At 47.3% G+C, this 12,870-nt stretch overlaps 1 protein-coding gene and 1 long non-coding RNA gene across 2 annotated transcripts in view; one reads left to right on the top strand and one right to left on the bottom strand.

Moving 5' to 3' along the window:
- Positions 1 to 12,153, top strand: part of MASP1 (MBL associated serine protease 1) — a 74,456-nt gene extending 62,303 nt beyond the window's left edge. The window contains exons 12-16 of the mRNA NM_001879.6: positions 2,915 to 3,028; positions 3,926 to 4,111; positions 6,241 to 6,308; positions 8,301 to 8,400; positions 9,174 to 12,153. Of these exons, the coding sequence (NP_001870.3) occupies positions 2,915 to 3,028; positions 3,926 to 4,111; positions 6,241 to 6,308; positions 8,301 to 8,400; positions 9,174 to 9,364 (659 nt within the window). The 3' untranslated portion in view covers positions 9,365 to 12,153. The remainder of the gene's footprint in view (positions 1 to 2,914; positions 3,029 to 3,925; positions 4,112 to 6,240; positions 6,309 to 8,300; positions 8,401 to 9,173) is intronic.
- LOC105374260 (uncharacterized) lies at positions 2,391 to 6,409 on the bottom strand. The gene is made up of 3 exons (XR_007096209.1): positions 5,188 to 6,409; positions 4,126 to 4,311; positions 2,391 to 3,720 (listed from the first exon to the last, which is right to left on the bottom strand). It is a non-coding gene; the product is annotated as an uncharacterized LOC105374260 (long non-coding RNA).

The following is a 12,870-nucleotide window of genomic DNA, read 5'->3' as shown; positions in this document are numbered from 1 at the left end:
TAGGAATTTTTATCTTGTCTTGAACGCTGCTTTAGGTTGATAAGTATGCTCTGGAAAGTTCTCTCCAGAGGCAGCAATGATAAAAAGGAGGGTGAAACTGGAGGCCAGGAGATCAGTGAGACATCCATTGCAGTGGTGGGGAGAGAAGGCATAGCCTCAGAGTAAGAACAGGGTATGATGGATGGAAATAAGGAGGCAGATTCGATAACACTGGGAAATAGGACTGTCACCTTTGTAATGGAATGTGGGTGGGAGTGGGAGCAAGAATGAGAACAGCCGATGGCTCTCCCTGACACAGTTTGGTCCAGGCAATCTAAGATCTATTCCAGTTCTGATGTCAAAAGAAAACTGAATAGCAATCTAGGCTATCTAGACCACTTCTGCATCGGATCCCACCCCCAAGGAAGAAGGCCCGGCTTGGCCCATCTCTGCATGAGCAACTCCCAGGCTGATGGGCATGCCTCTCACTCTGCCCCACCCTCCTCCAGATCCAACCAGGGGTGGACAGCTCTGGGGCAGGGATCCCTTTGGCAAGGCATCAGGTCTGGGCTAGAGCTGCAGCCAAAGCACCAGGGCTACATAAATCCCTACTCTGCAAGGAATTTATCCTTACATTCTCTCAGACCCAAAGATGAATGGTCTCACTCAAAGAAGTCCCCCAGAGAGGTAAAGAGAGTGAGGGAAGGTATTATAGGGCCAGACAGGGCTGAGGGCAGTTCAGTGGGAGCAGAGTCGGGGAGAGGACCAAGGGAGAGAAGGGAAGGGAGACAGAGGACCAGAATTAGAAAGACAACAATGGAGAGGACAGAGAGAGACAGAGAACACTGAGAGATACCTGGAAAATAAGATAGAGGATTGAAGAGAGTAAAGAGAAAAATGAAAGGGAACAATACAACAAGAGGAGGAGGTACTGGCGGGCACAAGATACCCAGGAGAGAAGAAGCCAGGGAAGGAGGGACCTGAAGGGAAGTTGGAGAGAAGCAGAGTGGTGTGGAGGAAGAGCTGCCAGCGAGGGCAGAGGGAGGGAAGACTCTGCTTCACCAGACAGCTCCGATTTTGTTAGAGGGCAAGTAAGAGAGATGGATTGTGTGCACCTAATTTTAAGAATGAATTCATTTTCTTAAACCTTGATTTTTTTTTTTTTTTTTTGAGACGGAGTCTCATTCTGTCACCAGGATGGAGTACAGTGGTGCAATCTCGGCTCACTGCAACCTCCGCCTCTCGGGTTCAAGCCATTCTCCTGCCTCAGCCTCCCGAGTAGCTAGGACAAACCTTGAATTTTTGAGTCCACTAATGTCCACCATGTATTGTGATTCATTGTATGTTTATTCCCTATGACTTATGTTTGAAAAATGTTTGACGTTCACTTCTCTACCCTCGGCCAAGCTGGAATGCCCTCATACTTCGCACTCCCTGCAGCAACCCTGATCTATCATTTCTGTCTCCCTCCTGTCATTCAGTCTTAAAGAGCAGGGGAAGGATAGGAGAGGGCAGAAGAAACAGGAAAGCAGCCAAGGGACAGAGGAAGGGGAAAGCACCTCATTAATGCCCACACTGACACCTGGGTAGAGGGATCTGCAGAGCTGGGAGGCCAAGCCATGTCTCTGAACTGGCCAGTGTACACCCCTGGGTTCATCTAAACAGCCCAGAGCCCCAGACCAAGGCAGGCTGTCCTAACCTGGGTACCTCAGCCCACCTGATCCACCTGGAAAATCTGGTCCTGGACATGGGCAGGGATCAAAAAATGCCCCAGGGCAGAGAAGAGTGGCCTAAGTAGAGCCCTGGCCAGGACCCAGGAGCACATAGCTGCTTCTCAGAGGGCCAAGTGGAGCCTGGAACCTGCTCTGAGACTAAGCACTTCTGCCCTCGACCCTGAACTTTGACCTGATACTCAGCCTCCCCCACCCCTGTGTTCTAGAGCTTTTCTTTCTGCTTGGCTCATCTTGGATATGTCTCTGGGCTCAGCCACTTATGGGCTTGTCATCTGCTCCACATAAGAGGTGAATGGAAGCCTGACCCTGCATTAAACGAAGGGCAGATGCCTGTCCATCCAGAGAAAGATGACAGCTGAGACACAGGAAATGCATTAAGCTGACTATCAGGAGCCCTGGGGTCTGGCCCTGGCCCTGACCCTGAAACCAACCTGCTGGGTGACCCTGGACATCTCTGCTTTCTCCACGCCTCAGGGTTCCTGCCTATATAATGAAAGGTCTAGATCAGAGCAGTGATTCTCCACCCTGGCAGCAGTAGAATTAACTAAGGAAATGTTTAAAACATTATCTGTGCTTGGGCTCCACCCCCATGACATAAATGGTCTAGATATAGGTCCAGACACTGATTTACTCTTTTTTCATTCACCAGGTAATTCTAACGTGCAGCCAGTGTAGGTAGCTTCGGATTCATCAATTTTAAACTTTAATATGCATACAAATTACTGGAGAGTCTTGTTAAAATGAAAATTCTGATTCAGTGGATCAGAGGTGGGGCCGGCCTAAGAGTCTTCATTTCTAAGAAGCCTCCAAGTGATGCTAATGTTGCTGGTCCAGGCACCACACTTTGAGAAGCAAGGCCTGAGAAGGCAGCCAGTTGACCACAGGCTTTCTGTGCACCCACCTTGGGCTCTCTGGCTCTCACCAATGCCATGGGCTTAAAGGATCCCTGAAATCCTGTTTACAATGTTCAGTCCTGGCCTTGGTTGGAATAGGCAGGTAAAAATCACAGATTTAAATCCTCATCTTCAGATTAGGATCATATGAGCATTTGAGTTGGGGGCCATAAAATACAATGGAGAGAAGCATGGCCATTTTCAAGGTCTTGAGGGGTCCTCTGGAGTAGCCTGAAGATCCTCAGCTCAAGACAGAGGGAGGCAAGACCCAGTAGTGCAGGACGATGAGACGTGTGTTCTGTTCCCCAGGCTCCAGCTGGATCGTGACCGCCGCACACTGCCTCCACCAGTCACTCGATCCGGAAGATCCGACCCTACGTGATTCAGACTTGCTCAGCCCTTCTGACTTCAAAATCATCCTGGGTGAGTGAGTGAGGGGCAAGCTGACTCCCAAAGCCAGCTGTGGTTCTGGGAATGACCTACTGGCCCTTTCCAAGGCGTGTCTGCTCACTCACTCGCTCACTCATTTGTCAGGGCAGGACACCTGGGATGGAGGTCCAGGAACCTGAGTCCAAGTGCAAGATATGATTCTCCAGACACGTGACCATGAGAAGGCATTGAAGTCTATGCTTCAGTTTCACAACGATAAAATGAGGAGGCCTCTAGATAATTTCCAAAGACCTGTTAGATTTCCATGAACCTGTGGTTTCAAATAGATCATACATATACGATCCAGATTTCCCCTCTTGTTTATAAAATCAGATGACCAGCTGATTCAATTCAGGTCCACACATATTTACCTACTGACATTATGCCAGGATCTAAGGACACAGTATGATTAAGACCTAGTTTCTGCCCACAGGGAGCTTACAGTCTAATAAAGGAATAAGATGTGAGCACAGAGACCTCTAACGGAAAGTAGCCAGCAGTAAGTTTTGTAGAAGAAGAACAGATAAAATGCCATGGGAGTTCAGAGGGGAAAGACTTCTAACCCAAGAGTCTGAGAGGCTACCTGGAGGAGGTCATGTTTGACACAGGCACTGAAGGTGATGATAGGGATTGAACATGTGGCAGCAGGCATCAGAACAAGCATTACAAGGCAACAGCATCAGTTCCTGAAGAAAGACAGAGGTGGGGACCCATGAGATTATGTAGAGAATGACCAATAGGGTGGGATGTCTGGGAAAGGTGGATGAAGGCAGTGAAAGGGCTAAGGCTGGAAGCAAGGGCTGGATGGGGCTGGGGCGGGGGCTGACAGGGAACAAGGTGTGACCTTATCCTCCATTGCACCCATGCCTCACATGTCTTCTTCTTGCCCAGGCAAGCATTGGAGGCTCCGGTCAGATGAAAATGAACAGCATCTCGGCGTCAAACACACCACTCTCCACCCCCAGTATGATCCCAACACATTCGAGAATGACGTGGCTCTGGTGGAGCTGTTGGAGAGCCCAGTGCTGAATGCCTTCGTGATGCCCATCTGTCTGCCTGAGGGACCCCAGCAGGAAGGTACTTTCCCCTACCTCCACCTCTGCAGGGCAGCTGGTGCCTCCACAAGGAGTCCGTCTTCACGTTGGTGAAGCTCTGGTGCCAATTAAGTCAGCTGACAGTGTCTGCTTGACTCACCAACTGCTTCCCCTCAAACAGCCAAGTCAGAACTGGGTCCAAGGCAGCAAAAGTTGTGGGAAGCACATAGTAAACAGTCAGACCTAAGGGTCCAGATAGAAAAACAAAAACTAGACTAGTTATCGTAACAGAGAGAATTTAATATAGGGCACTGGAGGATTGGAGAAGTAAGAGGGAAGAGCTGAGATCATAGAGATGGTACCTGCAGGAAGAAACCACCAACCCTAGGGCTGGGGAAACAAAGGTAAGAACCTGGAGTTAGAAATTAGAAGCTTGGAAAAGGGGCCCTATGGGGCCAGAACCTGAACCGCTGCAGAAGAGTCTAACGTGCTAAGGAAAACAGCTGGAAACAATGGCCACTACTGGGGTGAAAAACCACTGCCAGGGATGATGCCAACAGCCAAAGCAAGTCTTCCTGCCTTTCTGAAAGTGCCCCCTGTTTTCAGGAAACCAGCTAGCAAAGTAGAACTGCCCACTTCAGAGTCTCATCCCTAGTACCACAAAGCAGAATGTAGAAGGGTAAGTCTCAAGCTGGGGGACAATGGCTTAATACTCAGCACAGGCCGGGCGCGGTGGCTCACGCCTGTAATCCCAGCACTTTGGGAGGCCGAGGCGGGCGGATCACGAGGTCAGGAGATCGAGACCATCCCGGCTAAAACGGTGAAACCCCGTCTCTACTAAAAATACAAAAAATTAGCCGGGCATAGTGGCGGGCGCCTGTAGTCCCAGCTACTTGGGAGGCTGAGGCAGGAGAATGGCGTGAACCCGGGAGGCGGAGCTTGCAGTGAGCCGAGATCCCGCCACTGCACTCCAGCCTGGGCGACAGAGCGAGACTCCGTCTCAAAAAAAAAAAAAAAAAAAAAAAATACTCAGCACAGGCTCAAACACCACTGTGACCATTTCCCAGCTGGGTGATCTTCAGGAAGTTATTTAACCTCAGTAAGCCTCAATCCCCTTACCTCTAAACTGGAGATGCTATCCCATGTGGTGGCTGTGGCATTTCCGTGTTTGAGATAATACTTAAACATAGGTGACCCATGTCAGCTGGCTTCCTTTTCATTCTAATTTCAGTGGTGCCACATCAAGTTCACTTCCTTTAGCTCAAAAGAAAAATGGCTGAGATGTAATCTGAGGAGTATTTAGGGGAACTGAGCCAACAGGAAAGGCACAGGTGTAGCTGGCTTTGACTCATTGGGTGCCATGTGCCCACCAGGTGCTTTATGTTCATTAACTTATTTACGAACCATGCAAGCCTTGCAAGGTGGCACTGTAGCCTCATTTACAAACGAGAAAACTAAGGATCAGCAGGGTGAGGTGACTCACCCGAGATGCAGCTTGTATGAAGCAGATCTAGGGATATAGTACAGGTTTTCTGACTTTAAGCCCAACACTGTTTTCAGTATCCAGGCTCTTTTTCAAATGAGAAAATAATTGCTCTGTCAGTGCTCAACCCACTTCCACATTGCCCCACAGATTTACCAACTTCATAGACTTCTAGAATGTCAACTCTGAAAGGGGTTTTAGAGAATACCAAGTCCAGCCTCCTCATTTTATGGATAGGAAAACAGAGGCTTAGAAGGGGAGCAGAGAGGAGGGCTGGCTAAAGGCACCATAGCACATAGTGGACTAGGCTGGGCTTTTTATTTATTCGCTGTTCTTGATTGAGCACCTACTATGTGACAGCATTGCTATAGGCACTGTGATATAGCAGTGACCAAGAATGAGATTCTGCTCTCATGGACCCTAGGTTTCAGACTAGTTGAGGGTGGGACAGAATAGAAAACTAAACAAGTAAGCCAGTAACACATCATAGAAACCAGTGCCCCTAGCTCTGCTGCAGGTAATCTGTAGCCCAGCTGCCTTTCACGTCTTCCTCCCCACCACACCACCTTTCTCTGAGAAGAACAATCCAGTCTTTCCTCCACAGAAGAGGATGATGGAGCTGCAAGCTGCACCCCTCCAAACACCCCACAGATAGCTTCTCTGTTCTCACAGTATCTTCTCTCCTCCAGGAGCCATGGTCATCGTCAGCGGCTGGGGGAAGCAGTTCTTGCAAAGGTTCCCAGAGACCCTGATGGAGGTGAAGTTCACTTTATAACCTACAGACAGTGACACCTCAGCTCTGCACTGGGCCTTCCTGCTCCGTATTGTTCCCTTAGGGATTTTGAGGCTTGGGTGGGGGTTGGTGAGTGGGAAACTAGGAGCCCAGACCCACCTCCAAAGTTCAATGGGACTTTGAACCCCAGAAAGCTTGATTTGTTTGTTCTACATGTCATGGACTCTAGCCTCTAAACACGGTTAAGTTTTTCTGGTAGCTTATTAAAGGCTTAGCTTATGAAAATTCTCCCAGAAAACAGCAAGTTTAGACACCCCCATGGTGACAATCCAGCTGTGCACCATGAGAACTGTACACCAAATTGGCCAGAATGAGCCAGGCTCTTGAGAACCACAGTCCTTGCAGTAATGAACTTGGCAGTTACACTTAGAAGTTCATATTCCTATCAGTTCAAGGAAAAAAAAAAAAAACACTTAACTAAAAGTAAGGAGCCATAGTTTCAAGTCTTGGCTCCCACTAACTTGCTGGGTCATCTGAAGCAAGTTATTTTGCCTCTCTAGACCATAAGATACTATTTCCAACTGCAGAGTTATGGGGCAACACGAGCTGCCATCAAAGAGTTGCTTGGCTCTGATATCACCGGGGCCTATGACTGACACAGCTAGTTTCTAAATTCTTCCACATATATTATTTTGACATATTTTAAAATTTGGGATTTGCAACAACCATTCATCCCTTCATTCACTAACTCCCGGGGGTCTATTTGGTGTTTCCTTGGTACCAGACACTGTACTAGCTACTAGCTGTGCTGGGGTAAAAGGATAGATCTGGTCCCTGGCCCCCTTGGGCTCATGGTCAAGTGGAATGGACAGAAAGTAGTTATGGATGTGATAAAGGTGGAGAGAGAGAAATGCAGGATGCTCCAGAACATATGAAAGAGAATCTGATCTTGTCTCAGGGGTTCAGGAGGCATTCCCAAAGGAAGTGATGCTGAAATGATACCTGAACGATGAATCAGGTGCTCAGCAGTTGCTGAGGATCTGTCCTCAGGACCACCCTGCCCTGGCTTCCTCTCCCCTTATCCAGGGAAGGCCATGACCCAAGAGGGATCTGAATGGCCTCTGGTTTCCTCCCAGCAAGGGCAACAGGAGTTGTCCATTTAGAGAATATGGCCCATTCAGTTCTTGATTTGACTGAAAGAGAATCATATGTTTCCTCTTTTTATTCCAGACATCTACTCCAACAGTTACCCCCACACTGGATCAAGGGCAATAATAGTCACAATGCCTTATTTTTATGTATCGATTTTGCTGCATTGCAAAAAATATATATATTTTCTGGGTATCTACTAAGCTCCAAGCAATGTAAGATAGAAATGCATAAAATACAGATCCAGCATCGAGACAGATGCTCATACTGTAGAGAGGGAGGACAACATAACAAAGTGCTTGCTGCAAAGCCAGCAGTGATAACTCCACAGTAGCTAATATTTATACAGTGTGTGTAGTTTACAAAGCACTTGTTCCTGCCTCTCCTCTTTGTACAATGATTAGTATATCAAATACTGCAACCTCCATTTTTCAGATGAGGAAAAAGGGTCTCAGAGTCTGAAAAACAATGAGTAAGCCACATGTTCTAGGTCCTACAGTAGGGGTGAGACAAAAGAAAACCAAACTTCATTTTTGTATACATTGTCCTATTGACTAATACATCTCCTAGGCAAGTATTATTACCTCTATCTTACTGAAGAGAGATCTGAGGCCCAGAGAGGGCATGTGACTTGCCCAAGTTCACACAGCCAAGGTCTTCACAGCCAAGACTGCCCTAGAACACGGGCCTCCTGATTCTCCATTCAACTGTTCCTTCACCTGTAGCATGGGGCAGTCTCTTAGATCAAGTCTAAGGTAGACACAGGTCCGTCCAGGTATGGAGTGGAGAGGAGCCGTCTTCAGGGGTGTCAGAATAGCAGAGGCTTCTCAGCCGGGGATGAGGACCAATAACAGCTTTGTGTTCTAGATTGAAATCCCGATTGTTGACCACAGCACCTGCCAGAAGGCTTATGCCCCGCTGAAGAAGAAAGTGACCAGGGACATGATCTGTGCTGGGGAGAAGGAAGGTGGGTTAAGAGGCTGGCATACAACAGGGGCGCTGCCAGCCAGGGAGTGGTGCAGAGCCAGCAAGGGAGCACAGAGGCCTCCCAACCTGGTGGGCTGGCAGTGTGGGGGCGCGGGGGACTGGAGGAAGGCCGTGGGAGGAGGGATTCCACAGGAGAAGATGCATCGGAGAAAAGATATTTACAGGATGCTCATCATTCCCTTCCCAAGTTCAGTGTTTCCCTTAAGAAAGAGGCCTTGGCCGGGCACGGTGGTTCATGCCTGTAATCCCAGCACTTTGGGAGGCCGAGGCGGGTGGATCACCTGAGGTCGGGAGTTCGAGACCAGTCTTGCTAACATGGCGAAATCCCATCTTTACTAAAAATACAAAAATTAGCCGGGCATGGTGGCAGGTGCCTGTAGTCCCAGCTACTCGGGAGGCTGAGGAGGGAGAATCACTTGAACCCAGGAGGTAGAGGTTGCTGTGAGCCGAGATCGTGCCACTGCACTCTAGCCTGGGTGTGACAGAGCGAGACTCCATCTCAAAAAAAAAAAAAAAAAGAAAGAAAAAAGAAAAAGAAAAGAAAAGAAAGAAAGAGGTCTGAATCAGGGCTTTTTAGAATCATTTGAGCTCTGATGCGGCCTGACCTAGAACTGCCCAGAGCTGAGGTTTGGGTCCAACGGTCTGCTATGCCCTCTAGTGCCCAATTCTCTGAACTACAACCCATACATGGGAGAAGGAGACTTGGGCTGGGAAGGGGCATTTTATCTTCATCTATGTCTCTTTTTCACCTAGGGGGAAAGGACGCCTGTGCGGGTGACTCTGGAGGCCCCATGGTGACCCTGAATAGAGAAAGAGGCCAGTGGTACCTGGTGGGCACTGTGTCCTGGGGTGATGACTGTGGGAAGAAGGACCGCTACGGAGTATACTCTTACATCCACCACAACAAGGACTGGATCCAGAGGGTCACCGGAGTGAGGAACTGAATTTGGCTCCTCAGCCCCAGCACCACCAGCTGTGGGCAGTCAGTAGCAGAGGACGATCCTCCGATGAAAGCAGCCATTTCTCCTTTCCTTCCTCCCATCCCCCCTCCTTCGGCCTATCCATTACTGGGCAATAGAGCAGGTATCTTCACCCCCTTTTCACTCTCTTTAAAGAGATGGAGCAAGAGAGTGGTCAGAACACAGGCCGAATCCAGGCTCTATCACTTACTAGTTTGCAGTGCTGGGCAGGTGACTTCATCTCTTCGAACTTCAGTTTCTTCATAAGATGGAAATGCTATACCTTACCTACCTCGTAAAAGTCTGATGAGGAAAAGATTAACTAATAGATGCATAGCACTTAACAGAGTGCATAGCATACACTGTTTTCAATAAATGCACCTTAGCAGAAGGTCGATGTGTCTACCAGGCAGACGAAGCTCTCTTACAAACCCCTGCCTGGGTCTTAGCATTGATCAGTGACACACCTCTCCCCTCAACCTTGACCATCTCCATCTGCCCTTAAATGCTGTATGCTTTTTTGCCACCGTGCAACTTGCCCAACATCAATCTTCACCCTCATCCCTAAAAAAGTAAAACAGACAAGGTTCTGAGTCCTGTGGTATGTCCCCTAGCAAATGTAACTAGGAACATGCACTAGATGACAGATTGCGGGAGGGCCTGAGAGAAGCAGGGACAGGAGGGAGCCTGGGGATTGTGGTTTGGGAAGGCAGACACCTGGTTCTAGAACTAGCTCTGCCCTTAGCCCCCTGTATGACCCTATGCAAGTCCTCCTCCCTCATCTCAAAGGGTCCTCAAAGCTCTGACGATCTAAGATACAATGAAGCCATTTTCCCCCTGATAAGATGAGGTAAAGCCAATGTAACCAAAAGGCAAAAATTACAATCGGTTCAAAGGAACTTTGATGCAGACAAAATGCTGCTGCTGCTGCTCCTGAAATACCCACCCCTTTCCACTACGGGTGGGTTCCCAAGGACATGGGACAGGCAAAGTGTGAGCCAAAGGATCCTTCCTTATTCCTAAGCAGAGCATCTGCTCTGGGCCCTGGCCTCCTTCCCTTCTTGGGAAACTGGGCTGCATGAGGTGGGCCCTGGTAGTTTGTACCCCAGGCCCCTATACTCTTCCTTCCTATGTCCACAGCTGACCCCAAGCAGCCGTTCCCCGACTCCTCACCCCTGAGCCTCACCCTGAACTCCCTCATCTTGCAAGGCCATAAGTGTTTTCCAAGCAAAATGCCTCTCCCATCCTCTCTCAGGAAGCTTCTAGAGACTTTATGCCCTCCAGAGCTCCAAGATATAAGCCCTCCAAGGGATCAGAAGCTCCAAGTTCCTGTCTTCTGTTTTATAGAAATTGATCTTCCCTGGGGGACTTTAACTCTTGACCTGTATGCAGCTGTTGGAGTAATTCCAGGTCTCTTGAAAAAAAAGAGGAAGATAATGGAGAATGAGAACATATATATATATATATTAAGCCCCAGGCTGAATACTCAGGGACAGCAATTCACAGCCTGCCTCTGGTTCTATAAACAAGTCATTCTACCTCTTTGTGCCCTGCTGTTTATTCTGTAAGGGGAAGGTGGCAATGGGACCCAGCTCCATCAGACACTTGTCAAGCTAGCAGAAACTCCATTTTCAATGCCAAAGAAGAACTGTAATGCTGTTTTGGAATCATCCCAAGGCATCCCAAGACACCATATCTTCCCATTTCAAGCACTGCCTGGGCACACCCCAACATCCCAGGCTGTGGTGGCTCCTGTGGGAACTACCTAGATGAAGAGAGTATCATTTATACCTTCTAGGAGCTCCTATTGGGAGACATGAAACATATGTAATTGACTACCATGTAATAGAACAAACCCTGCCAAGTGCTGCTTTGGAAAGTCATGGAGGTAAAAGAAAGACCATTCTGGTATGAAGGTTTTGGGGGAGGAGATATCAATCAAGAAGGCTTCCCAGAAGAGGTGACTGGACCAGAGCCTTGTCCACAGGTAAGACGGAGGAGGCCTTCCACATGGAGGGAGAACAATAGTAAATGTCCACTCAAGATGTCCTTTATTATACCAGCTCCTCCCACAAAAACACATGTCCAGTGGACTCTTTTTCTGGGATCAGAACCAACACCAAAAAGAGCTTTTCTCCTTAAAGTTAGAATTCTAAACAGGACTTGAAATGGCCTCAAGGTTTGTGCACAAATACTGACTTCTGGCTGGACCCAGCTTATTCTGTTTATTTCTCCAATTGCAATTTCATCCTTATCCTGAGAAAATGTCTAAATAGGCCATGGAACCCAGGCTTCCCCGTGACCTACAAGCACTTATTAGCTGTGCCAGCTCCTGCACTGCTGCTAAGGTCCAAGAAACCCAGATCTCTCACAGAGCCATAGAAGCAGAGGGCTGGAGTATCTGTGAGGACAACAACCTTGTCTAACTTCGCGACCTCATTCTTGAGCATTTCTACTGATGAGAAACTCACTACCCCCAATTGCAGCTCATTCAACTTTAAAATTGCTGCTTTTTGAATCACTGATTGTGAATATTAATTTAAAAAAATAAGTAAGAAAATGTTTTAAATGTGCTGCCTCTTTAAAAGGTCTCCTCTTTGTGCAACCAAAACCCACCTCTCTAGAATACAGTTTGTATAACTGAAGCTATAATTTCATACCATGAGTGCTGCTGTTAGCAATAATAATCATGCCCGGATTTTATTAACAACAGAAGCTGTTGCTCGTATGAAAAAACAAACATTAGTTCTAATAAACATCTGCATTGAGTCAAAGCTCCCTGTTTGTTTGTATGTCTTTTATGCACTGATGATTATAGTGAGTTGCTTTCATTTACCAACATTTTGTTGTATTCGTGTAGGATCACTGTACCATGAAGGGAGAGAGACTATGATGGGAAGATTGTTGTAGATACAAAAGCATGTCTTAGGTTTTTGGGTCAGTTCTGTTTAAATACCTGTCCTATTATTCCTGTAAATTATCAAAATATCCCAGAATGTCAATGTTTCTGCATCCACATTACAATTATTAAATGCCACTCATTTATTAAATTTACTATTATCAGTGGCATTTAATAAATTTGAATCATATGTTCAGTGTTTGGTTTAGAAAATATGGTGCCATGTCTATGAGTGGCCTGTTCTGGATTGGAGTACATGCCTTCTTTCTGCCTTGAGTTAATCTTACTCAATGGAGAACAAGAATCAAAGAAACACCACCACCAAGAAGCCCTTCAAGCTAGAGTTGGGCAAGAGTCAGGGAGGGGAATGTAGACCACTCATATGACAGAGGTGGAAACCAATCTTGGTCTAGAATAAGTCTCAAAATCAAAAGACTTGAATTCTAGTGCAGCGTAGGTTGACTCCCTTATTTATTTAATTTTCCCATCTCTACACCGCTAGAATAACCTCTCTCCTGAGGCTGTTGAATCTGATGAATTAGCAGATAGGAAAGAACTTAGAAAATTATAAGTTCACTCAAATGTAAAAGGT

This window comes from Homo sapiens, chromosome 3 (genome assembly GCF_000001405.40).
Source record: "Homo sapiens chromosome 3, GRCh38.p14 Primary Assembly".
NCBI lineage: Eukaryota > Metazoa > Chordata > Mammalia > Primates > Hominidae > Homo > Homo sapiens.
This window is presented reverse-complemented; position numbering and strand designations above follow the sequence as displayed.